The sequence below is a fragment of the Homo sapiens genome, chromosome 12 (genome assembly GCF_000001405.40).
Source record: "Homo sapiens chromosome 12, GRCh38.p14 Primary Assembly".
Classification (NCBI taxonomy): Eukaryota; Metazoa; Chordata; class Mammalia; order Primates; family Hominidae; genus Homo; species Homo sapiens.
In genome coordinates, this window is record NC_000012.12 from 3,322,907 (window position 1) to 3,349,687 (window position 26,781).

A 26,781-nucleotide genomic window follows, 5' to 3' on the forward strand; every position below is an offset into this window, starting at 1 on the left:
GCAGGAAGAGAAACAGGAAGAGAAAGGATGAAAGAGAGGGAGAGGAGGACGAGGGGAAAAAAGAGGAGGAGGAGGAGGAGGAGGAAGAGAAGGCAGAGGAAAAGGGAGAAGGAGGAGAGGAAGGAGAAGGGAAGGGAGAAGGGGAAGGAGAGGAGGGAGAAGAAGGAAGGGGCAGAGGAGGAGGAGAGGGAGGAGGAGAGACAGATGAGAGGGAGCTACTACTGCAGCTGCCGAGGCTGGCCTCCTGGCCTGTGTCCTAAGATCCTGGAGAACACCAGGCTGGCGAGCAGCCACCCCCTCTCTGGCTGCCCCATGGCCTCAGCCGCTTCCCACTCCAGGACTGGAGCCCTTCTTCCTTGCTGGGGACCTCACTGGGAAATAGGGTGGTAGTGCAGGGTCCCCCTCCCTGCAGAGCATGGAGAGGCAGCCCTTCTGCTCCTAGGAGATGGTGCTGTTGCCCAGGAAGCCGGTCACCATGACGAGAGTACCCGCTCAGATGAGGATGCAGGCGGAGGCGGTGAAGGTGCTGGAGGCCAGGATGCTGAGGTAGCTGCTCCTCTCCACCAGGGTCCAGATGCCCATGGCCAGGACAGCTGCCCCCCTGACCTGCAGGAGACCACCAGGTTGGAGCAGGGGGTGGCGGGGGCCTCAGGAGCTGCCATTCCTTGAGTGCCCGCTGGGTACCAGGCACTTCTCGTGCATTGTCTTATTCAATTTAGGCCTCCTAAGAGCCTGTGAGAACAGTGTGGTGGCCTAGCTTTACAGATGAGGAAACGGAGGCTGAGAGAGGTTTGCAGGCTTGTCCAAGGTCACACATGTAAGCGAGCTGCAGATTTTGAATCTGGGTCTGACTTCTGATTCTGTGCATCTTACTATGGTTCCTACTGCATATGAGGCGGGGAGAAATGACTTCAGTTTTGGGGATGACTAATATACCTGAGTCCCTTCGCCTCCCCTCCCCTCAGAGCGCTCCCTCCCTCTGTCCACGTTTCCCTGATGGATGTGGAGGTGCCATTTTGAGCACCTCCCCTTGTTCAATCCTTATATTTGCCCATTGGGGAAGCACGGCTGGGCCCCTTATCCCTCCCTGTTCTACAGAGGAAGGAACTGAGGCCCATGGAGGAGAGGTAAATGGCCCGAGTTAGGGGCAGGGCCAGGACCAGGACTCAGAGCCCAGGGCCTGCTTGCTCAGTCTCGCTGCCTCCATGATGGAAGGGCCACTGTGCTGGACAAGTTGGAGCTCCCTGGGACCACAGGAGGAGGGAGGAGAGCCTTCTTTGCTGTCTGACTCCCTTTCAGTCCTGAGAGGGGGCAGGGACGGGACACTGCTGATTTGCAGGTCTGGGGGATGCCTTCTTGGAAATAGAGTACCTGGGAAATGTAGCTGGGGTGGTGGGGCTTGACTGTTCTTTCCTGCCATGAAGCTGAGGAGCCTTTTAGTGACTGTTATCCTCAGCAGAGCATAGTGGGTGGGTGCAAGTGTCCTCAAGGTGCCAGATGGGGGCTGTTTGGAGTGTTTTCCCAGGATTTGGGTCCTCTGGGACCTCTGACCATCTCTGTCATTTGCTCCTGGGAAGGTGGACTTCTGTCTCCCAGTCTCTCTGCCCGCCATTTAGGGACGGGTCCATTTCCTCTGATGGTCAGTAGATGCTTCCTCAAGGGGTCTTGGGTGTAGCCAAAGCTAGAGAAGCCCTCCCGGGCTCTGTTCACATCCCCTGATGCTTTTCCCTGCAAGTTGTCTCCCGTCTGCCCCAGGAAGACTCTCTGTATAACCTAACCTGTCACTTCCCAGTTCTCTGTTCCGGGGAGTCGCAGACCTTGGCTGAGTAAATGGAAGGTGGTTCTTAGCAATGAACAGGCACCTACATTACTCAACTCGCAAGTATTTTACCATTTTGCCATTTTCTCTTCTGAGCTTTGCAACAGCTCTGTGAGGATGGGGCCGGGCAGGAGGGGCCAGGCTATCCCTGTCTTGCAGATAAGAAAATTGAGGCTTGGAGAGAATAAGAATGTGCCCAAGATGACACCATCAGAGGGTCAGAATTGAGGTGCAAACCCAGTTATTTGAGGGCAAATCCAGGCCTCTGTCCTTGGATCCCCCAGAGTAGGCTGGGCCTGCTTCTCTCTTACTTCTACGTTTTTAATAGACATGATTTCTTCAAAGTGCCATTTTATCTCCATAGGTACCTCCAGACACCACCCAGGCTGCAGCAAATGGAATGGGAGAGGCTAACACACCATAATTTTTCAATTCCATGATGCCCATTTTTTCTCACATTTTAACGTCTCTAAAATTGGGGCACATCTTATGATTGATGGCATCTTACAATTACACTTGGCAGTACTTTTTCTTGGTGATACAAAAAAACAACAGTGTATCTTACAACTGATAGCTTAGATTCAGTGAAATCCTAGAATACAACAGGTTTGAAAATTCTCTGTGGGTGAGTGTTATCTGTGGCCCATACAACCTCCATGACCAGTGAGGGATTTCCTGAGTCTGGGTTCCAGCAAAATATCCTGGACAGAATTCTTTTTGACCCTCTACAGCATGCCTGGAAGGCTTGGGCACGGGTCCCAACTGTGTATAACTAGCTCCGTGACCTAAAGAGAGTCCCTGAACCTCTCCAGACCTCAGTTTCTTCACCTCTCGAAGAAGGGAGTGAGTTATATTAGACCAGTAGTTCCCAGCCTGTAACTACCAAGGACCGTTTGATTATTTTTTCCCATGGGTTTTATGTTTTGAGGGCTTTTGCCTATCAACGTGCATTAATTAAGTAATAATTCACTTCTCATTTTTTATTAATCAAAGGCACATATAGTGCCAGGAAGAGATTCTGAACAGCATGAGACAGTCAACTTGACCACACTGAGTTGATCTAACTCCAGCAAAAGGCCAAGAATCTTGGCTTTTCATGAGAATAGCCTCTTTATAGAAATATGCACATTATCTGTGATCTGTTAGGCTTCTTAAGCCTGTCCCTCAAACCAGAGTGGGGGCTGAGCATATGGCTCTGGGGCCACCAAAAGACATATGTTTGGACTGGTCTGGGGACCATCTGTTGGGAGACACAGAACCTCACTGAAAGCCTGATGAAAAGCTTTGCATCCTTTGCCCAGAGAAATGGTCATTCACACAAAACAATACCCTTGGGGCCAGGGGCTGAAGTCTATTTTGCACTACCTAATGACCTGTGGCCTTTATGGTCTGTAGGCCTCCTGCACCCCTATGGTGCCCTAAGACCTGGCTGTACAATCACCTGGGGAGCTTTGAAAAACCCAGGCCCCCCTGCAGGCCCATCCGTGTCTGTGGGAGTGGGACCCAGCCATGAATTTTTTATGAAGTTCCTGGGTGATCCCAGCTGAGAACCATTGCCCAGAATTAACGAATGGGGTCCAGGTGTCCTGCCCTCCTCTTCCCAGTTGGTGACGCTGTGCTGAGCCTCGCAGAACACAGCGGCTTCCCGGTCGCTCAGTCCCAGGAGGGGCCCCTTGAAGCTCCAGGTTCCCTCCCCTGGGAGGAGTTGCCTGGAGGGCTACTGAGATTTGTTCAGGACCTGAACCCCATCCTTTCCTTCCGTGTGTTTGTTAGGGTGTTTGCTTTGGCAGAAGCTTTAAGGTAGAAAGTGGGGTAATCCTGAGGAACAGAATTTTCATCTAAAGGGGCAAAAATCAGATTATGCAAGAAAGGAAAAAACCATGGCTCCCAGGGGAGTCGGAGGCTATGAGAAATGCAGCCCCGGAGAGGAGCAGTGTGGATCTGGCCGACGGAGGCCTGCTCTCTGCCAGGGCACCTGCAGGCCACACAAATGGGGCTGGGATCTTGCAAAGCTTGCAAAGTGACGCCGGATCCTGGGCCACGGGGCAGGGTCTGGAAGGGGTCTGGAGGGACACATTTCCCTGATTCAGGTCTAGAGAACAACAAATCCACATGCATTGCTGTCCAGAAGAAATCAGGAGATGAGTCTGGGTCAACGGGGCCTGGTTATACTTAGCCAGGGGTCTGCAGGAGCCAGAGTGCTGCAAGTCCTCCGGGAAGCTCCTGCCGGGGACGTGGTCAGCTCTTTAGAAAGCAAGCTTTCCTCTGAGCAAGGGAAGGAAAACTGCTCACTGTTGGAATGGGTCACCAGAGGGTGCCACGGGAGGGCGGAAGTCAGCAGGTCTGCATGCCAGTCCTGGCCGTGCCCTTGACTGGGTATGTGACTGTGGACAGACAGTTGGCCTCTCAAAGCCTTAGTTTCTTCATCTGCAAATTGGGGGCACTGGATGGGAATATCTCTGAGGTCCCTTCCACATGGTTAAACTGTCCCTGTTAGTATTGGGCAACAGTGTTCTGCCAAGACACCACCAGCAAGATGCTTCTGGACCAGCGGCTCATGGCTGTCACTCAAACCACTTGGAAACTGCCCAGTTCAACAGAAAGCAGTGGAAGACTGGTGGGGCAGGGAGAGCGCTGACCCCAGTGAGCGGTTTTAACAACCATTGGCGTAGAGTTGATTCAACAGTATTTGGCTCTTTGTAGAAACTGGGTTGGTTTTCTGTGGAGTATTAACTGCATTTCTCAAAACCATAGCCTGTGGCCGATTAGCCAGCAAACCCTGCATAGGGTGAAGTCAGGCAATGAGGACGTGAGCAGACCAGTAAGGGCAGAGCAGGTCACCCATGCCGTGTAATTTTAGGAACTTCTCATTTATAGGAGAGAAACATTGCCAAAGTGTGGCCCACGTCATCATGGGGAGAAGCGTTAGCTTGAACTGCCACACATGCCTGGGGCTGGATAGAAATAAGGCAGCAGGCTTGAAGGAAAGCAGGCAGTGGCGTAACAGTAAATGTAGGATTTTTCTTTGTCCTGCTAGCTAGGGCTTCTGTGTTGACAGCTGGGGGGAGGATGGGGTGGGGCAGGAGCCAGGACCATGGGACGCCCAGTAAAGAAGGATCCCCCGGGCAGGGGAGTTCTCTACCTTCGGTGCTGGGGTTGGGTGGGGGAGCCCATGGCATGGGAGGCAGAAATGCACTGGCTGACAGTATAGTTCATTTGTTTGATGTTTGCTACTAGGAACCAAGCATCACGCTGGACTGAAAAGGTTTTTGGCCTGGACAGGAGTTCCCCCACTGGGAACCACACACATCATCCGTGTCTCTCCTTCCAGGTCGGTCTGGTCAATGGCACCATCACCCACCCACCCTAGACCAGACTAGACACCTCAGGGTCATTATTGACTCCTTCCTCTCCGCTCAATGACAGCCAGTTCTCCTCTGCTCTCAAACCTGTCTCCATCTCCCCACCGTCAGCTCCCAGCTCCTGCTCTACCTGCAGGCTGGCAGGCTGTGCCCCAAGGCACTCCCTGCTGAGCAATCCCCACAGGCTCCAACAGCCAGAGCCCCAAGCCCAGACTCTTTTGCATGGCCTCAGGGCTCTTACGTGTCTGGCCTTAACCTATTTTTGGCTTTATCTTCTGCTACTTTCCTTCCTCCGTACCTGGGCTTTAATCACCATGAACAAAGTAGTTGCTTTTCTTGTAAACATTGTAGATACCCATTAACTATGGCAGCAATAGTAGAGTGGTAAAGAGGGTGAACTCTGGGGTGAAGTACCGGTGTCCGAGTCCAAGCCCCTCTGTTTACGGCTGTGTGGATTTGGATAGGTTACCAAACTCTGGGCCTCTGAGAGGCTCTCTCCTGTCCCTTCCCAACCTGCTCACATTGTTCTCTTTGCCGTTCCTTTTCCACTGAATTCCTACTCACCCATGAAGCCCCATCTCCAGTGCGGCACCTGCTCTGACTCTGCTGGGCAGGTGAGCTTGTCCCTCTCGTGCACACCTGTGGCACTGCTCCCCTCACAGCAGCCCTCGGCCCGGGGGTGGGAGACTCCCCCGACTCCCCTCAGAACCCCGGGCCCAGCAAACCACCTGGCACCTGGCAGCCGCCCACATGAGCATGGGACTCCACGAACGGGGCTTTGTAGGGGGCTTTGGAAATAGCGGCATCTGCTCCCCTCACCCGTCTGTCTGCTGAGCTCCTGAGGCAACAACGAGTATCCCCCTTCCCTGTTTTATGGCCGTTTTTATTTTTGGAGGGGCAGTCTGCAAAGTGCCAGCAGTCCCCGAGGGCAATGGACTTTCCTCCAGGTCATTAGGAAGAAGCCCCTGGAAAGGATCTTCATGCCAGACCAATGCTTGGCTATTCTCGTTCTTTCTTTCAACCCACACCCACTGTGCACTTGCTATGAGGACGCCAGGCTCTCAGGCCATAGTGGGGTCCACACCTGTCACTTCACCTGCCCTCATGTCGCAGGCCAGTGACTAGATGGGAAGGCCCAGCAATCACCAGGGTGATTTCCATTAGAAAGAGAGGAGAATGGGTCTAATTTCAGGGAGGGGGGCTGGCAAACACAGCCTGGGGGCTCAGGAGAGGACTGGGAGGCCATGTCTGAGCAAGGCTCGGTTGCTTGTAAAGAATGGTACCCCGTTCCCACATCAGAAGAGTCAGCTGAACCCCGGGCTGCAGTCCCAATAGTGCACTGCTGAGCCTGGCGCTCACCTGCAGGGTAGATGGCACCTCAGTGCCACACCTGAGCCTCTGAGCTCTCCAGGAGGGCATAGGCAGGCATGTATCAGGCACCACTGCTCACCCTGCTCGTGAGTGACGTTTTTCTGAGCACCAGGCAAGCACTTCTCCCCGGCTCTGTCCATGCTGCCATTGCCTTGGTTTGACTGAATCTTCAAGGACAGGCTTGTCATGCTAAGGGCCATTTTCCACTTTGAGGCATTCTTTTCTTGGTTCTCTGGTTTTAAAGAGCACTTGATAAAATAAATCAGAGCACTGCTTCCCCCTCTGTCTTCCCCATCCCATCTACCCTTATAACAAGAGCAGAATCTCATGGGGCATACCGAGGGGTGGAGCTGGAAAGGAACATAAAATCACCTTCCAAACCCAGCTCAGTATCCAAGGGAAACCTTCCTTGGAGCTGTCTCTCCCCACTCCTCAGCAAACCATTCTGTCCTCTGTACCAGCTCCATGTCTTGCCCATGTTTTTGTAATTATACTCATCACTGCCTATTTGTTTTATTTGCTACCTTGTGTGTCCTCTTTTAGCCTCTTGATAAAACCTTATTCATCTTGGTGTCTCCAATGGAGTCCTACATGTGGGAGGGAAGAAAGAAGGAAGAAAGGAAGGGAGGGAGGAAGGAAGGGAGGAGGGAATCGAGTTCAACCCCTTTTATATTCTGGAGGGAGAAACTAAGGCCCAGAGAAAAGTGACTTTTCCACAGTCACACAACTAGCCAGGGGAAGCATGGAGCTAGAACTCAAGAATCCTAATGCTCAGTTTAGTGTCCATTTTACCAATTGGGCTGCTGACCCACACGAAGCTGCTTGGCCCAGGAAGCAAGTTGTGCGGTGCCTGGGCTACAGTAGATCTAGAGTCCCTGAGCTGCAGATGGGCAGCTAGGAGGGGTGACCACAGCTTCATCCTGACTTGTCTCACTCACCATGGCCCCGAGCAGACCAAATGCACATCCCTCTTGATATGGTTTGGCTGTGTCCCCACCCAAATCTCATCTTGAATTGTAGTTCCCATAATCCCCACATGTCGTGGGTGGGACCTGGTGGGAGGTAATTGAATCATGGGGGCGGGTCCCCCATGCTGTTCTCATGAGTGAGTTCTCATGAGATCTGATGGTTTTGTAAGGGGCTTTCCCCCCTTTGCTTGGCACTTCTCTCTCTCCTGCCACCTTGTTTGCTTCCCCTTCCACCATGATTGTAAGTTTCCTGAGGCCTCACCAGCCATGCTGAACCATGAGTCAGTTAAACCTCTCTCCTTTATAAATAACCCAGTCTTGTGTATTTCTTCATAGCAGCATGAGAATGGACTAATACACCCCTCAGCCATGGCCCTGTCCCCCAGCAGATCCTGACAGCCAAGAGGGGTAGAGGTGCCCCGAAAGCCGTGGGGAGTCCCATGCCATTCAGCATCTCAAGAAGCGGTGCAGCAGAGAAACCAGCTACGAGGTCCCTCACCTGTTTTTCCTCAAATGGCAAGCCCAGGAAGGGGGCAGAGGCCACGTTCAGTGGGGTGATGCTGTCCGAGGTGAAGGGCTTTCTAGCTCTGGCAAAGAGGTGAGCAGAAGGCCCCACCAGGGCCTCCCTAGATCCTGAAGTGATGCTCCCAAGCCACCTCATTCCCCTGCCAGGCTCGGTCCTCCATCTTCTCTGCCACCTGTCTTGGTCCCATGCCTCCTTTAAGGGCTCCCAAGCTTCCCTGTAGGCTGAGCCCTCCTGGCGGCCTGGGAAGGAGCAAGGTCTCCGCTTCAGGAGCAGAGGCAGCCTCTCCAGTCACGGAGTGCTTCCCATTGCCTGGCAGAGCTCCTGGGAGGCTGGAAAAGTTTTGATTATGAACACAGCCAAGCAGCTAATTAAAATAATAAATTAGAGAAAAACATTGCAGGGGTAATGGTAGCTGCAGGGAGCCGTGGAGGAAAAGGGAGGGGAAAGAAACACATCTTCTAGGTGGCCGCCTAGGAAAGCCTGGGCCACATTTTCTTTTTAGGGCCATGAAAGAGGCATGAAAGTGTGGCATTTTGGTTCCTCCTCTGCTCAGCAGGATCATCCCATAATGATTATGGCTTAACTGAAACCCTAGGTGGGGTGGGGCGGTGGGAGTCAGAGATAGGGTGACGGGGAAGAATTGCCACCTGAATCCTGCTTCGTGTTTTGCAAACTTTGGAATGTGACCCATTTGGGTGATAAAATAAATTTAGTGGGTTGTAACCTGCACTAAAAAAAGTGAGCTAAAATAGTAGAGAAAATATCAGCATGCATCTGTATTAGGATTTTCTAGATGGGTAGAACTAATAGAATCTACGTATATATGAAAGGGTGTTTATTAAGGAGAATCGACTCACAGGATCACAAGGTAAAGTCCCACAATAGGTCGTCTGCAAGTTGAGGAGCAAGGAAGCCAGTGGTGGATCAGTCCGAGTCCCGAAACCTCAAAAGTAGGGAAGCCGACATTGCAGACTTCAGGCTGTGTCCAAAGGCCCAAAAGCCCCTGGCAAACTACTGGTGTAAGTCCAAGTGTCCAAAAGCTGAAGAACTTGGAGTCTCATGTTCGAGGGCAGGAAGCATCCAGCATGGAAGAAAGATGAAGGCCAGAAGACTCAGCAAGTCAAGTCCTTCCATGTTCTTCTGCCTGTTTTATTCTAGCCATGTTGGCTGCTGATTAGACGGTGCCCACCCACATTGAGGGTGGGTCTGCCTGCCCCAGTCCACTGACTCAAATGTTAATCTCCTTTGGCAACACCCTCACAGACGCACCCAGGAAAAATACTTCACATCCTTCAATCCAATCAAGTTGACACTCAGTGTTAACCATCACAGCATCATATACCGTAAGGGTAAGTTTAGTTTTCTGAATGTTTCGTGTGAGCATTTCTTATGCTTCCATGCATATCATGAGTCACCATCAGAAAAGTCTCAAAGTCAGCACTATGGACAGAGAAAGTCATTAAAGAGACCAGGCATGCCCATCAGTCTAATCATAATAGTTATGCATAATAGCTAAGCACTGAGTATGTGGCACAAATTGTGCTATTTTTCTAAATAGTAACCTCTAATTCTTACAGGTATTGGTATTCTCATGTAGCATATGAAAAAACTGAGGCTCAGTGAGATTAAGTGATTTGCCTAATGTCTTAGTTCAAGCTGCTGTAACAAAATGCCACAGTCTGGGTGGCTTAAACACCAGAAATTAATTGTCTCACAGTTCTGCAGGCTGGGAAGTCCAAGATCAAGGTGATCTGTTCTGGGTGGGGCTCTCTTCCTGGCTGGCCAATGGCCGCCTTCTTGCGGTGTTCTCACCTGGTGCTTGTCTATGGAGAAAAAGAGAGCTCTCCCTCTCTTCCTGTTCTTAGAAGACCATCAATCCTAGCAGAACAGAGCCATGCCCCTATGGACTCATTTAGCCTTACTTACCTCCCTGTCTCCAAATACAGGCACATTGCTGGTTAGGGCTTCAACATATAACTTTTGGGGGACACAATTCAATCTGTAGCACCCAATGTCCCAGGGCAAATAAATAATGGAGTCTGAATTTGAATCCAAACTTGAGTCTGAGCCTTCCCAGCATGCTGTGCTGCCTCGTTAATTCATGAATGCCCCGAGGACACTAGGAAAGTGTGCAATTTAGAGCTGGGGCTGCAAAGCGTGGTGACCAAGCACACAGGCCTGGGGCCAGGCAGCACTGGGCTACAGCTCCGGGACAAGGCACAGTGCTTCCCATTCCTAAAGCAGGGCTCTAAGAGAGCCATTCACAGCTTCAGGCAGGGCTGGGAGGATTAATGGGATGATGCACCTGCAAGGACAAGCACAGAGGCCCACCATAGTGAGTTCCAGGAACGCTGGGAACTTTGTTTACTGATAGACCCTATGGGCCTAGACCCATGCCTGGCACTTACTAGGTGCTTCATACAAATTGTGGACTGAGTTTTTAATTGTCATTTTCATCACTGACCTGGTATTAGAATACCTGGGTGCCAGTGTTAGCTTTAGCAACACTATCAGACCTTGGGTGAGATTCAGAACCGGGTGGCCTGTTCCCTGTCTGTAAAGTGAGGATAATAATGACAGTGACCATCCAACAGCTCCTGTCAAATGCTGGGCTCAGAACTGCATTGGGGCCAACCCAGGTTTCCCCTCTCTGTGCTGGGTTTCGATAAAGAGTGCAGGGTGATAGACTAGAGAGGACCTCGTTCTGGGGGAGAAAGGAAGCTTGTGTTTCCCCTGTGCTGTGCCTCATACCTCGGCAGGCTCAGGCAGGAGGACCGCGATTGGACGCTGGGGGTGTCTGTGTGGGAGGGAACCTTCTCTTGTTGGAAGGGATCCTCACTGGCCAACGCCCCCTCCTGGGGAATTCTGGTGAGTTCCTAGGGACTTGGTGCTCTGTCCCTAGGGACTGGGCCTGCAGGCTGCCCAGTGTCTACCCCGGAGGAGATTGCAGCAGGTCTTGGGGACCGGACGCCAGGAACCCCTGTGTTGGAGACTGAGGTCTGAACCTTCAAAATCCAACCATCCCCCACCAGGGAAAGAAGTCTGAGCTGAGCTGGTCCCTGGGAAGCTGGTCCACGGCCAGCCAGGCCCTCGGCAGGGGTATTTTTAACTGGAAGCAGGGAGCGCTGCATGAAGGAAGCTCCCCTTGCTGGCAACTGCACCAGTAACACACTTGCTGCGCAGCTGTGTGCACTGCCACCCACAGGCCCTTCTCCTTCCCTCCCCAAAAGGATGCACACACCCAACAGGCCCTGGGTCCTCCCCAACCGTGGTCACCATGTCTGCTGCCCACTCCCACCTACGGGACCTTGGCACAGGCAGGAGCGCAGGGTCCGAGGCCTTCCACAAATATTTGGGCAGAGCACCTCAAGACAGCCCTAGGGACTAAAGAGCCGATGACCCTCTGGCCCCATCTGCTACTGCCCAGCCCTCTCCTGGTGCCCGGCCGGTGGTGTCTACACGGAGTCCACCTCCTCTACCCTCCCGTCTCTGCACTTTCCTGAAAGTGCTTTCCCCACAGCTGCCCCTCTGTTGCTAAGCCCAGTGGCCTCTCACCGCTGACCTTCTCAGGCCCCTGGCTTCCCTCCCACCTCGCTGACTGTTCCGCCTCAGGCTCCCCTGATCAAACTGTAAGCACTGATCAGCTTGTCTGGGGCTCTCTTGGTTTTAGACTAAAAGTCTCACATCCTGGGAACTCCCTCAGTTCAGGGCAAACTGGGACTGTGGGTCACCCCAGACTCACCCTGACCTTGGGGACACCCCAGATCACCCTGACCTTGGGGACACCCTAGACTCACCCTGACCTGTGGGGACGCCCATGTCTCCTTCTTGCCTCTCGTTTCCTCTTGATCTCCATGCTCTCCCTAAGGGATCTCCTGTATTTCTGTGGCTGCAGCTGCCATTGGGGTGGGGATGATCCCCAAGTCTGGGGTGCCAGCCTAACTTTCTCCTGAGATCCAGACCTGTAAGCTAACTGCCTACAGGGCATCTCTGCTCAGAGGTCTCCTGGCACCTCGAAAAGTCACCATGTCTACATCTGACCTCACCATCTGACCCCAAACTTCTCTCTCCAGTCTCTGGTTTCAATGAAGAGCTCTACCATCCATCAGGAGATTCATATCCCAGGCACCTCTTCCAGCCAAAGGAATCTCTTCTTGTCAATTTCACCTCCTAAGTCCCTTGACTCCAAGTATTTCTGTCCCCGCTGTCATCCCCACAGTGCAGGTCATGACCATCTCTCACTTTGATCGGTGCGAAGTCTAGAGGAAGTGTCAACAGTGGCCATTCCTGGGATGGCCAGTGGTATGGGTTGGACTGTGTCCCCCCAAATATATGTTGAAATCCTAACCACCGGAACTGTGAACATGGCCTTATTTGGAAATAAGATCTTTGCAGATGTAGTCAAGTTACAATGAGGTCAGAAGGGTGGGCCCTAATCCAACATGACTGGCGTCCTTGGAAGAGGAAGACGTCACGCGAAGACAGAGACACACAGGAGAGCAGCATGTGACAGCAGAGGCCTTAGAGATTGGAGGGAGGCAGCTGCAAGTCAAGGAGTGCTGAGAATTGCCAGCCACTCTCAGAAGCTGGAAGAGGTGATAAAGGGTCCCTCCCCTAGAAGCTCCAGAGGAAGCACAGCCCTGCTGATGCCCTGATTTTGGACTTGTAGCCTCCAGAACTGTGAGAGAGTGAATTTCTGTTGCTTAAAGCTATCCAGTCTATGGCACTTTGCTACAGCAGCCCTGGGAAGCTAACATAGGGAGATAAGGACAATTTTCATTTTCTTAGCATACTTTTCAGTATTTTAGAGGTGATCTGTAGTGGATACACAAGACTTTTATGATTAGGAAAAACATAGTCATTCTTAAAAAGAAGTGCTCATCAGTAGGAATCCTAAGCGTCCTATTGGATTTGTCCCTGAGAATTGAAGCCATCTATGCCACACAGTTTACTGTCCTCATCAACACAGCTTTTTTATTCCACAGGAGACTCTTGCCCAGGAAGATAAAAGCTGAACATAATTTTATTGTTCATTTCGGGGACTTTGCAAATAACATTTACACAAACAGCAGATTGTACAACTTTTTAATAGCATCTAATGACTGTCTTTTCACCAAGACTCTTCAAAAACTCTTGCCTTGCCATGTCTTCCCATCCCAAACTCCTAGGTCATGGCTCTTCCCAATCTTAATCAAGTCCCTGCAGGAAAGATGCTCAAAACTCAGACATATCCCATTTGCATTTGGTTTTCTGAGATGATTCTAAGACTCTGTAAAGGGTCTTCTCCCTTACCATGGTAGCAGGAAACCTGGCTGCCTTATCTGAGGGTTGATTTGGTGGTATTTTCAGGCATTTGACATCTGATATTCAAAATATTGCATTTATGGAATGCAACCCCAATCATCCCTGAATTGTAGCCAGGGAAACAGGCTCCTCGAACTTCAGTTGCTCAAGGCCACACCATTAGTAGCTGGCAGAGCCTAGGTCCAGCTGCCTGCAAAGCCTGCACTCTTACCCTTCTCCTACTTTCCCAAATTTAGTGAGACTGTAATACAAAATACTTATATTCTGGTGTCTGGCTATTTTTGGGTGGTATTCGGCTCCCAATTGTCCAGATAATGGCCCCAAGCGGACAGGCTATGGTCCTCAGGAAGACATCACCCAGGCAGGTTTCCTGCGGGGAGTCACCATAGAGACCATTTCCATCACAGGCAGCAGCAGCCTGAGCTTCCGGGACTTCTGTTTCCCTGCCCTGGGCCTGGAGAATGTTAACCATGAAAGGCAAATGGGCTTCGGTTGGAAACAAGCCATTATTAGCCACTATTTCAGGCAGTCACATTTCCCACAAGGCACTTGTGCAACAAGTTAGCAGGGAAGAAAGAAGCCGAGCCTTTGTACGGCGGGGCCAGAACACAAAGCTCATTGTGATGTTTGTGCTTCTATTCAGACGCCACGTGGTACGGACTCCACGCCAACCTGCAGACTGGATTCTTTTCTTCCCCCTCAGTAACAAACATACACATTTGCTTTAAAGTAGGCAGAATTTGCCCATGGGTGGTCTTTGATTTGGAAGAAATCAACTTCAAAGTGGTGACTCACAAAAAACAAAGGTGGCTTGACTCATTCAGTGCTCGGGAAAGGGGATGTGTGTGCAGAATTCACTCATCCAGAAGCAGAAGTTGAAGACAAGGAGTAAATACTTCAGGTAGACAATCAGCCAGTCATCCTGCTTGGTCTTGTAATGGGCCATGGCTGCTGAGTCTAGAGAAGGCACACAGGCTGGGCTGGGGAATTACCGAGAGCCACCTCACCCCTCCAGGAGCCAGGGCGCCTCAGCCAGGTTCCCTTTGAAGGGCTTATTTGCCTGTCTTGCCAGGGATCTTTGAGGCTGTGGGTGTGCAGCATAGAGTAAAGATCAGGGAATCGCAAAGGCTACTGGATGCCTTAGTGGAGGTGAATTTGGGCAGAATTTTCCAGACCTTCAGGTGCCGGTTTTGTTCTCTTGACAAAGGTCTAACCCACAAATCTTCCACAGATTTCCCTGGCCTTGTTGTGTTCTTATTCTCTTTCCCTGTCTCATCAGGGTTGCAGGACACAAGTTTATCTGTCATAGACACACACTCTTTCTCTCTCTCTCTCTCTCTCTCTCACACACACACACACGTTCAGCATGGCTGCTTTGCAGTGGAAACCTGTACTGCACATCCACAGGTGTGGCAGGAGTCCCATATCAGAGCATCTGTGCCGGAAAGACCTCAATGATGACCCATTCTACCTTACCTGGCCTCTACACCCCTTGACTTCCCAGATGAGGAAGCAGGTCCAGACAGGCCCAGACTGTTTGGCAGAAGAAGTCTAAGAGCCTCTGGAGTCTTAACTCCTTGGGTTCAAACCCTGATCTGTCACAAGGTGTGTGACACTTTGGGCAAGTGACATGACTTCCCATCTCTCAGTGTTCTCATCTGTAAATGGGGATAATGATACCTACATCACAGGGTTGTTTTGAAGATTGAATGGGATAATCTATGTGACGTGTTTAGCATAGTCCTTGGCACATAGTAAGTATTTAATGTTAGCTTTTATTATTACATGCCATAGAGCTGGTACTAGAACCTACGACCCCAATCCTAAAACTCCACTCTTTGCCCCAGCACCATGCTCTGTCTCTTGTCCGGACACCCGTCAATGGACTTTCTAGGGAAAGTCAACATTGGTGATAAAGGCAGAGAAGGCCCACTGTACTCAGTAATCGCATTTGCTTCTTAGTCAGTCTGAACCTCAGTAAGTCTGAAGCCTCTATGGTTTCCTCTTCACCTGGACCTACTTGTACCCCTGGGCACCTGCACACTCACAGAGTAGTTGCTCTTTAAGAAATTGTCCCCATTTTGGGAAGCTCTTTTATTTCAGAACCATACGCAATGAGGCATTGGTTTTGCCCATGACCTTCTCTTCCTCTATCATTCCCAACCCCCCATCAGGCCCTCCTCCCCGCTTGCTCTTGCCTCTTTGGCTGGTGCTGGGCCAAAGCCCAAATTACTTCCCTGAGCCACTGCTCTGCCTTTTATTTCAAGCTTATGGGCTCATGGAGACAGGGAGAGAAGAGGAGAGAAAAGAAAAGGTGGCTGTCTTATTTGGGATTTCTATTTGCAGACCTTGAAGAAGGTAATTTAAGACTGTTAGTCTTCTCATTAAAAAAAGACAAAACCCATTTTTCTTCAATTTAGTTTGAGAGATAGGGTGGTGGAAGAGATATAGGAGAAAAAAAGGAAGCCTGTCAAGAATGGCGATGGATGGGGGTGGCCAGGCAATCGAGCAGAAGGTGTTTGGAGGTCATTCTGCAGTCGGCCCTGACAAGAGACTGGGTGCAGCGTCCTCTGGGTGCCATGGGTTTTTAGTAAGCTGAGGGATTTGTGGGGGCCTGGGCGCTACTGTCTGCAGTTTCCCTCCCTCTGCACGTCCCTCCCCTCCCAGCCAGGGCCCACTAGACTCCTAACACAGAACCTTCTCTCGATCTGCAGCAGAGGGGCACGATTCACTCACTCAAACCAAGGGGTCAGGGCCCCTGAAAGGAAAATTGTATTTTTTAAAAAGGACTTCAGGCAGAAGATAGGACTTAACAAAGAAAAACGTAATTCTAATGGTAAAATTTTAGCCATTATTGGTAGAGAAGATAGAACCACAGAATGTCAGGGTTAAGGGGAAACCTTGGGGCTCACTTAATTCAATCTTTTGCAGACAGAATGAGGAAATTTACCCATCGGAGCTAAAACGCACATCTTAAAATGACTTCTCTAGAAGTCTGTAATCGATGGTTGCAGTTTTCTATCCCCCACTATTCAAGGCTCCATCTCCTGTAATATCCCACCACACTTGGGTCCCTGTGCTGGGAGTGGCAAAGGCCCCAAAGAAACTTGGAGCCGGATGCCTGGATCTCAAAGCTAGCCTTGCCATTTTACTGGCTGTGTGACCTTGGGCAAGTTACTTAACCTCTCTGTGCAGGTCACATTTATGGAACACTTTCGCGTGCCAGATGCAGACCTAAGTGCTTTACGTGCATTATTCTGGTGCCTCTTTCCAATACCCCTATGAAGTAGGGCTAGTCCCATTTTGCAATATAACCGAGGTTCACACAGGTTAAATAACTTGTCCAAAGTCACACAGCAAGTAAATGGCAAAGCCAGAGTTGAATGAGGAATCCCTGGCTCTGGCCTCAAGCTCTTACCCACTGTGCAGTACTCTCAGGACCAGGGAACCCAGGGCAAGGCAGGAAGGGGTGGGGGGCAGAGACTGATGGTTTCCCTCATACCCACTGTGCAGTACTCTCAGGACCAGAGAACCCAGGGCAAGGCAGGAAGGGGTGGGGGGCAGAGACTGATGGTTTCCCTAATATTTGTTCTCCCCTTTTTCATTGGGAATAGAGCATCTCCATTTTAATTGGGTACTTGGTCACCTGGAGCAAAAGACATTTCCCAGCCTCTCTTCCGGCTAGGCATAGCCAGGATTCCCTGTTTGCCGGAGAGCGGTATGTAAGCAGAAATGGTATATGCGGCTTTTTAGAAGGATCGTTTTTTGGTATCTGTTTCATGTTCATTTACAAAGAATGTACATCCTGTCATTGTAGAGTACAGAATTCTGTATGTGTCGATTAGGTCAAATTTGTTAATTGCGCTTTTCACATCTTCTGTATCCTTACTGATCTGGTGTCTGATTGGTCTATTGGCTATTGAAAGATGCCTGTTACAGGCTCTCCCTACAAGTGTGAATTTGTCTATACCTTATTTAAGTCTCTTAAATTTTGCTTCGTATGTTTTGCAGATATTTTATGGAGTACAAACAGATTTGGAGTTAAGATATTATTCTGGCGGATTAATCCCTTTATCGCTAATAATGTCATTATCTGTCTTTTAACAGTTAGAAGTATATATATATATATTTTTTCTGAGACAGAGTTTCATTTCGCTCTTGTTGCCCAGGCTGGAGTGCAATGGCGCAATCTTGGCTCACCGCAATCTCTGCCTCCCAGGTTCAATCGATTCTCTTGTCTCAGCTTCCCGAGTAGCTGGGATTACAGGCATGCACCAACACACCCGGCTAATTTTTTGTATTTTTAGTAGAAACGGGGTTTCTCTATGTTGGTCAGGCTGGTCTCAAAGTCCTAACCTCAGGTGATCCACCCGCCTCGGCCTCCCAAAGTGCTGGGATTACAGGCATGAGCCACCGCACCCAGCCAGAAGTATCTTTAGAGTGGTGGGGGCATGTCTCTCTTCACCCTTTCCTTCTTCCTGTTGGTTGGAATGCTGATGTTGTGGCTGGAGCTGAAGCAGCTCTATTGAACCGTGAGCTGAAAACTATGGGTTGAAAAGGAGTAACAATTAGTTCAAAGATTCTGGGTCTCAGATGGTTTCAGAGCTGCCGTTCATCCCTGAGCTGCTTACCTCCAGACTTAGTTTACATTAGAGAACAACAAACTTGTAGCTTCTTTAAGCTACATGTTTGTGCCAGGGGCACTGCAGTGGGGGCAATAAGACCAGAGGCCCATGGCAGGCAGTGGTCGCCGAGCTCTTCTGACTGTACACCCCCTCAAATTTCTTATTTATAATTTTTATTCATGTACTATTGTCCATTTATATAGCAGGTATTCATCAAAACTTCATTTTGCAGTTTTGAAAGTTAAAAAATAATGAGGGATAGGGATTTCAGTAAGTTTTCCCTGTATCCCAGTATATTGTCTGTTGCCACCTTGGAGACCACTGGTGCAGAGTGTGCATGGAGTGGGTGAGAGCTGAAGGTTAGGTGGGGTCAGGTCAAGAGTGACCTTACATGTGAAGCTCGGGGACTTGAATTAATGTCCTGAAAGTGATGCTGACCCCAGGAAGGTGGTGCTTAAGTTCGAGAAAGAGATGGTGGAGGAATGGAGATAGGGGACAGACACCTGACTGGCGCAGAGGGAGGCCCCATCAGGCAGGCAGTGTGCTCCAGGAAGAGGCAGGAGAGGAAAGACCCCAGGAGTGGGCAGAGGAAGAAGCAGCCAGGTGGGAAGTTGAAACAGAGGCGGGGGTAGAAGGAGAACCAGGGGAGTGGGGGTCCAGGTAGCCAAGGAGGACAGGGTGGGCTGCAGTACTGCATGCTTGCTAAGAGGTCCAAGCAAGGGCTCACCTTTGTCCATGAAGGATACATGGGGATCATAGGGATGCACCATGAAGGGAGGGGAAACGGAGACCTGGAGGTGAATATTTTCAAATGAGAAGGCTGGGAGGGAAGCAGCTAGAAGGTCAGGGAAAGGAAGTGCTTTTGTGTGATGAGGGAGGGCGGCTCGGGCATGCCTAGTGCACTGGGAAAGGCTCCAAAGCCTGCTTAACTCTGCTGCCTCCGGGGAAGGGGACAGGGCTGAAGGAAGGTGAGTGGAAGAGCTCCAGCCACCACTTCCAGCCCTCCTCCTGACTGTCCCAGTGGATTCCCCTCTCTGGGACCTCATTGTACCCCAATTTCCTTTTCCCTGGAGAGTGATATATCAGGGGAGGTAGGTGGGGGAACATGGCAATGGCTGCAGCTGCCCCTGGAGAGGAGAAAAGCAAACATAAGCCACTTGATGTGAGCTTATCTGCCAGCGAATGGAGGGGCCAGGGCTTTGGATAATCCCCCAAATCATTTTTCATTGAGCTTTGAGTGTCTTATGATTGCTGGGAAGCCGACTGGCCTTCCTAAGTGGGTGTTATTTCTGTTCATAGCAGTTGGGAGCTGGGCTTGGGAACCAATTGAAGGAAGTGTTCCTGAGGGGCACCAGCTAGACAGCAGGGGGCAGGCAAGGCAGAGACTCCCACTACGGGTGTAACCAATGCTGGATGCAGAATCACGGACAAGCCTCTGAAGACAAAGGAGAGGGACCGTACCTCCCAGATCCCTGGCCTCGCGACGCTGATCTCTTCCTTGGCCTCTAAAAGGCACATCTGTGTCCTCCCTTTGGCCCTTTGTTCAGGCTGTGGCCTGAATCTGAAACCCCTGCTACTCTGTCCCAATGCTCCAGGGCTCAGGGGGACTCTACCCCTCCCTGAAGGTGGCTATTTCCACCTTCCCAGACCCCCAGGGCAAAGCCCAGCATCCACGGACTGCAGCAGTTGGCCTGGGTGCTTCTCAGCATCTTATTTAACAGACTGACTGATTTGGTTACCTTCCCGAGCTTGTGGACTGAGATGGGGACAGCGGTGCCACACAGTGGGGTCCAGACCCTCTTTCTGGCTCTGCCCTTTACTTGCTGCCTGTGCTTGGCGAGGCAAGCTACTTCCCTCCCTGAGTGTTTGGTTTCCCACCTGCAGGGAAAAGCAGCGGCTCTCCTGCTTAGGTCTTAGAATTACCTGGGGGACTCGTTAAAGTGAAGATCTCAGGGCCCACCCCCAGAGTTTCTGATTCATTAGGTTTAGTGTGAGACCCTGAAGGATTTGCTCCCAGGCAGGGTGACTGATAATCCCCATTTGCCCGGGACAGAGGGATTTCTTGGGATACAGGAGTGCTGTTCAGGGTTAAACCTGGGCAATCCTGGGAAACCAGGATGGCTAGTCACTGCTCCCAGGTGCTGCTGGTCTTGGGACCACACTTTGCATCAATGTTCTCTAAGGTCCCTTCCAACTCTGAAAGTCCCTGTGCCTGCAGTATAAGTACCCTTCACCTCTGAAACAGGCATAACTGGGTGGGACATGAGGGTGGGCCCGTCCTCTCATGCAAATTCACATTTAGGACACAGTTCCTGTTGAAATGATAAAGATCTCCCAGATTGCCCGGCAATGAGCCTCAAGGTGCCTTCCCCCCAGGAAGAGGTTCTGACTGTAGCACAAAGGTGGGATTCAGGGGCAGCCAGCAGGTGCGGGGGCGGTGAATGTCATTGTCAGGATCCATGCCATAGGACATCTCAGAAAGGCAACCACAGATGCCTTGAAGGTGAACTGATGCATTTTGGGGACTTTCATCAGGGCTGGATGTGTAATGGCATGGCTGTGAGACTTGAGGATCATTGTCCTCCTACTGCATCCCCCCGCTCTCCCAAGCAGATGAGGCTCAAAGCACAGAGATGCAGGATGTGTAGGAAGAGCCCAGCTGGCTGGCCAGATGTGCTGGGAGTCCTGGTGAGCAGGGCAGGCTCCAGCCGGGGCCAGTGCCCAGGAGCACAGGGTACCACAGGTGTTGGCTGGTGGGCAAGACCAAGTCCTTTAATAGTGATGGGGAGCAAGGGGTGGGAGCTGGCTGTATAGATCATACATAAACACATGGCGTTTTGAGGCCCTGGGTGAGCTGCATCCTTCACTCCCTCAACAAACATGTATTGAGTGCCTGCTATGTGCTATGTGCTGGTACTTGGAACAACTGGACTTGCTCCTTCAGGAGGTCACAGCAGTCGTGAGGGTGGGGCACATGCATGCAAACAACTTCCAGACACTGGAGAGCACTTTCAGAGATGCTGGCCCGTCCTGATGGGAGCGCAGAGGGACAGGCATTGATTCTGCCAGACGAGGGTGGTGGGGGTGGATGGCAAAAGAAAGGGGCATTTAATTTGGTCCTTAAAAACAGGCAGGGTTTCTGCGGGCAGAAAAGGAGGGAGGGCTGCCCAGGGAGAGGGGACAGTGTGAGCAAAGGCCTGGCGGCATGGCTGGGCAGGGTGGGCCGGCGGGGGCAGGAAGGGCTGGGAAGCCATGTCTGGGCCTGGAACAAACTTGGCCTCACTAAGTTGTGACTTTCCGCTTTCCCCCACATTCTCTACTCCTGGGATCTCACCAACCTCTTATTCTTTGTCTGCTCCCATTAGCAAAAGCTGAGGTTGGGAGGGACCTGACTCTCCGTTCCCTAAGGGAAGAGCACCCCATACCAGGGGAGGGCTTTTGGGGCGCCTGATGTTTCTGAAAACAAACAAGCAAACAAACAAAACTGGCATATTTCACTTAACATAACGTCCTCCAGGTTCATCCACATGTCACAGACAACAAGATTCCCTTCTTTTATAAGGCTAAATAGCATTCCATTGTATATATATGCCACATTTTCTTTACCCGTTCATCCCCTGATGGCCGCTTAAGTTGATTCTGTATCTTGGCTATTGTGAACAGTAATGAAATGAACATGGAATGCAGATAGCTCTTCAACATACTAATTTCATTTCCTTTGGATAAATACACAGTAGCATCTTATGTTAAGTGAAATAAGCCAGGCACAGAAAGACAAATACCACATGATCTCACTCATACGTGGAATCTAAAAAGTTGATCCCATAGAAATAGAGTGTAGAATGGTGGTGGGGGGAAGTGGGGAGGGGAAGAGATGTTGGTTAAAGGGTATAAAATTTCAGTTGGACAGGAGGAATAAGCTCAAGAGATCTATTGCATGTCGGGACTCTGTATGGTTAATAACATTGTATTTTTTTTTTTATACTTTAAGTTCTAGGGTACATGTGCACAACGTGCAGGTTTGTTACATACGTATACATGTGCCATGTTGGTGTGCTGCACCCACCAACTAGTCATCTACATTATGTATATCTCCTAATGCTATCCCTTCCCATGACAGGCCCCGGTGTGTGAAGCTCCCCACCCTGTGTCCAAGTGTTCTCATTGTTCAATTCCCACCCAATGTATTCTTTTTTTTTTTTTTTTTTTTGAGATGGAGTCTCACTCTGTCACCCAGGCTGGAGTGCAGTGGCACGATCTTGGCTCACCGCAAGCTCCGCCTCCCGGGTTCACGCCATTCTCCTGCCTCAGCCTCCCAAATAGCTGGGACTACAGGCGCCCACCACCACGCCCAGCTAATTTTGTTTTTGTATTTTTAGTAGAGATGGGGTTTCACCATGTTAGCCAGGATGGTCTCGATCTCCTGACCTCGTGATCCACTTGCCTCGGCCTCCCAAAGTGCTGGGATTACAGGCGTGAGCCACTGTGAACACATTGTATTCTTAAAAAATGCTGAGTGATGATATATGTTCTCACCCTAAAATGCTATTAGGTTGGTGCAAAAGTAATTGCAGTTTTTGCCATTAAAAGTAATACATGAAATACATATGTTAATTGGCTAGATTGTCACTCTATGATGTATATGTACTTCAAAATACCATGTTATACACAGTAAATACTTATAATTTGATCAGTCAATTTTTCAGAAAGCAAAAATAAAGATCCCCCCTCCCCCAACAAAACCAGTGGCCCCTCCCCCCGCCCAACACACACACACACCCGTGCCCCTTCAGTTAAATAAGTGTCAGTTTCCACCTTTGAGTTTCTGGCCAACAAGAGGCCACGCCTGCCTGATGGGCAAAAACAGTAGGAAAGGAAAAAAAAACAGTCTACGTGGTTGAATGTATGACTTCATTTCGGTTTTAATGAAACTTAGTGACAGTCCCCGCACGGTGGATTTCCTCTCTCCATCTAGACAGCCTCGCCCTTCTGTGCCTTTGCTTCCCTCTGGTTTCATTCCACTTGTCTGTGGTGGGTGTACAGTGCGACTATTCTTCTGAAGCGGAGAAGTAGGACTTCTTCAGACCCTTGAAATTGGGCAGCTGGAAGGAGCCAGAAGGATTCTGAGCTCAGTCCTTTTGAGAACTGAGGCAGCTGGGCCCTCGTGGGGTGGGAATTGGGGTGGGGGACCAGGAGGTCACACTGTGGTCAAAGCCACACTGCAGATCAGTGGCAGGGGAGGACCTGGTCTCCTGTCTCCCAGGCCAGTGTTTTTTCCATGGCCACCAACAAGATTTTGATTGGCTGATACAATAATAAACATTTACTAAATGCTAGCTCATGCTAGCCACTAACCTAAGTGCCAACCGTGCATTAGTTAATTTAATACTTATAATAATCCCACGATGGGATTATCTTCCCCTTTTACAGAAGAGAAAACTGAGGCACAGAACACTATTGGAGAGCCAGGCACATGAGTTATGTGCAGAACAGATATTTGACTTTTCCCAGCACAGGTCTAGTTTGGATTTCCTGTAGCTTGGGGATCTGTGGTGAAAACTAAGAGCTGGGGGATCTGTCCAGGGCAGAGACCCCAGTTGGGGGCTGGGAGGCACAAGGCCAGTATTTTCTGAAAGGATCCTGGGTCAGGAGGACCATGATGGCTGTCAGTACAAAGAGACCAACTGTTTGGAGAACCCTCTGGAGGGAACCATACCTTCTCCCTAGTCCTCTATCTCTCTGATTTTGAAGCTGGGGATCCAGTGGCTGCCAGTGCCACCACTGAGGCACAGGCTGGGCTGCGGTCTCTGGGCAACTGCCTTTCCTTCCTTCCTTCCTTCCTTCCTTCCTTCCTTCCTTCCTTCCTTCCTTCCTTCCCTCCCTCCCTCCCTCCCTCCCTCCCTCCCTCCCTCCCTCCCTCCCTCCCTCCTTCCTTCCTTCCTTCCTTCCTTCCTTCCTTCCTTCCTTCCTTCCTTCCAGGGTATACCCAGACTGGAGTGCAGTAGCGCAATCGTGGTTCACTGTAACCTCCGCCTCCCAGGTTCAAATGATTCTTGTGCCTCAGCCACCACAGTATCTGGGATTACAGGCAAATACCACCATGCCTGACTAATTTTTGTATTTTTAGTAGAGACAGGGTTCCACAATGTTGGCCAGGCTGTTCTTAAACTCCTGACCTCAAGTGATCCACCCGCCTTGGCCTCCCAAAGTGCTGGGATTACAGGCGTGAGCCACCTCGCCTGGCCGGCAACCGCCTTTTCTTTTCCATTACCGTGTTTGTTGTGTGCAGGTAAATGAGCACAGGCAACTCTTTTGGACTAAACTTAGGATTTGATTGCTAACTATAGAGTCATGTGGATGGTGCTGTAGGTGGAACTTGAATTAAAACCCTAGCACTAAGAATTCCTAGTCTTTATGCCCTGAGAGACATGGTTTCCTAAGTACATGACTATTTTTTACTTCATTTGCAAGTACCAGATTGCATTTTTGTATTAGTCAGGATTCTGCTCCTACTGTCAGGCAAGTGGTTCAGCTTCTCTCATCCTCTAGGTGTATACATACACAGGGAGTCTCTGGAGGTGCCTGTACGCAGGATCACAGTTTGCTGTTTTTCCTAGATCCTTTTTTTTTTTTTTAAATTCTGTCTGACCTATGAAATGAGGACTTCTCCAGCGCTTGTGACAAGAATCGGTGACCAAACAAACACAAACCCAGCGCTAGTCAGCAGGTTAGGGGATCTGGGTGTGAGTACCAGTTGCCACCTACAGCAGTGTGACCCTGGGCAAACCCTGTGACCTCTGGAGCCTTAGCTTCCTCCTCTGTAAGATAGAGATGACGCTGGGCTGGCTTTGTCTCCCTTGCATGGTGGCTGTGAGGACTAAATGGGATGGAGAGTTGCAAGAACTATGTATACTGCAATTTTACAGCTTCATTGCCAGACAAGGGTCATGATGAAACTCACATCTCTAAGAGCTTCCCAAATGAAGGACAACAGGCAAAGGTTGGGTAACCCTAAATAATACACCGGCCAGGCTCTGTGTCTGATGGTTATGGATGGAGTCTCAGGGCCTCTGCCCCTCAACCCTCTCGGCCCGCTTAGTGGACTCTATACAGATGATTGAGAGGGGACCCTGTCCCCAGGTGGCCGTGAAGAATTCACCTGCAGAAAACCAGGACCTCAATTTAACAAAGCAGATTGGTTCAGACAGGAAAGCCATTTTAAAAGAAGAGAAAAAAGGCCACGGCTGCAGTGAACATTACGCACCTCATCTCTATTCTCAACACGACAGCAAGGCACTGCAAAAGGACACCCTGGGTGGAGTGGGGGGGTGGGAAGAGGTGCCCCTCAGCTGGGGCTGCAGGTGGGGTGCCCTGTGGGTAGGGCTCCAGGAGGCAGCACCTGGGCCTCTGCCATCCCAGCAGGGCTAGTGAGGTCATCGAGTGCAGAAGGTGACAGCTGTCTTGGTGCTTGGGTCACCCCTACACATTCCTTCTCTTCTGATCAACCCTATCCCCAATTCTGCAATGTAAGGGGGGCTGAGCTTATATCTAGGAACCTGGGTTCTGGTCTCGCTTCCATTTCTAACCTGTTTGTGACTTTCGGCCTTGGCTCTTCTCATCCATAAAACTGGAATGACTATCTTCTTTACCAGGTTGGGTAAAGATACTTCCCACTCTAAGACTTACTGCAAGCGCAGGAGTTGTGGGCCATTGCTCTATCACTTAAATCTTTGCGCATTTCCTTGTGAGCCCGGGAATAACTGTGGTGTGTCAGGTATGGTTTTAGTACAGTTGTTCCTCGGCGTACATGGGGGATTGGTTCCAGGACCCCCTTGTAAATCAAAGTCCACACATGCTCAAGATCTGCAGCCAGCCCTGCAGAACCCACATACATGAAAAGCCGGCTCTCCATATAATTGGGTTTTGCATCCCGTGAATACTGTATTTTCCATCCATGTTTGGTTGAAAAATAGAAGTGGATCTGCACAGTTCAACAAGCCCGTGCTATTCAAGGATCAACTGTCCTTTGTAAGTAATATCTCTTTTAATCCTCACAACCCTTTAAGGTAGGCACATACATCTTCCCCACGTTACAGAAGGGGAAAGAGAGACAGAGATTAATCCTGCTTTGCACCTATTGTCAACATAATTAAGAGCAGTGCTCCAGTTCACTTCAAAAATGTCCCGGCTGGGTGTTAAGTCCTGGCTCTTCATCATGATGTTACACTGCTTGTCAACAACATTCTGAATCTTTCTGCCCCATCTCCTCCATATTCTAAAGGTATCTCCAACCCACTTCCTGCTCTTATACCCCATGGTCACCAACCCCCACGAATGAAGCCCAAGGCATGCCCCTTAACTACATTACTTGACAACATCTGAGCTAAGTTCTGGGGTCCTGAGCACCCAACACAGCACCCCATGTATTGGTGTCCGATGCTGAATGAATGAGTGAACGAATGAGCAAATGCACTGAAGAGCCACGTGAATGCTCATGAACTCTGGGAGAGCTACATAAATACCTCTCACCCCATCTTGCTCTCACCCGGTTCCTCAGGAGACCTGTCAAAGAAAACAGAAAGAGGAGCTTTCCCTGAGCTTTCTCTGCCTTCTTTGCATCTTCTTCTTTTTTCCCTGCTTCTTCCATGTCAGCCTCAGATGAGAAACACAGACCTATATCCATTGTACATCAAAGTAGAATATCTTTTTGAAAATAATCCAAACGAGGCACAAATGGGAACAAGACAGTTTCCTTGATGGGAAACACCTGAAGGCACAATCAGACACTTCCGTAGAGCAGTCAGAC

At 50.3% G+C, this 26,781-nt stretch overlaps 2 long non-coding RNA genes and 1 pseudogene across 3 annotated transcripts in view, besides 2 other annotated features; 1 reads left to right on the plus strand and 2 right to left on the minus strand.

Moving 5' to 3' along the window:
• Positions 1-15,756, plus strand: part of LINC02827 (long intergenic non-protein coding RNA 2827) — a 38,300-nt gene extending 22,544 nt beyond the window's left edge. For both annotated transcript variants that reach the window (NR_187483.1, NR_187482.1), the window contains one exon: positions 443-15,756. This is a non-coding gene — a long non-coding RNA (long intergenic non-protein coding RNA 2827). The remainder of the gene's footprint in view (positions 1-442) is intronic.
• Positions 1-26,781, minus strand: part of LOC100128253 (uncharacterized) — a 67,609-nt gene that overhangs the window by 24,393 nt on the left and 16,435 nt on the right. The window lies entirely within an intron of this gene.
• LOC100418939 (tetraspanin 11 pseudogene) lies at positions 418-14,296 on the minus strand (annotated as a pseudogene).
• Positions 3,643-4,142: an enhancer, noted in NCBI's record as "H3K4me1 hESC enhancer chr12:3435715-3436214 (GRCh37/hg19 assembly coordinates)". NCBI's record gives its function as "activates a minimal SCP1, AML or CMV promoter by ChIP-STARR-seq in primed H9 embryonic stem cells {active_cell/tissue: H9 hESC(primed)}" and the evidence as "EXISTENCE:reporter gene assay evidence [ECO:0000049][PMID:30033119]".
• Positions 11,795-12,994: an enhancer, noted in NCBI's record as "BRD4-independent group 4 enhancer chr12:3443867-3445066 (GRCh37/hg19 assembly coordinates)". NCBI's record gives its function as "activates an origin of replication core promoter dependent on BRD2, P300/CBP, MED14 and CDK7 cofactors, and independent of BRD4, by STARR-seq in HCT116 cells {active_cell/tissue: HCT116}" and the evidence as "EXISTENCE:reporter gene assay evidence [ECO:0000049][PMID:35650434]".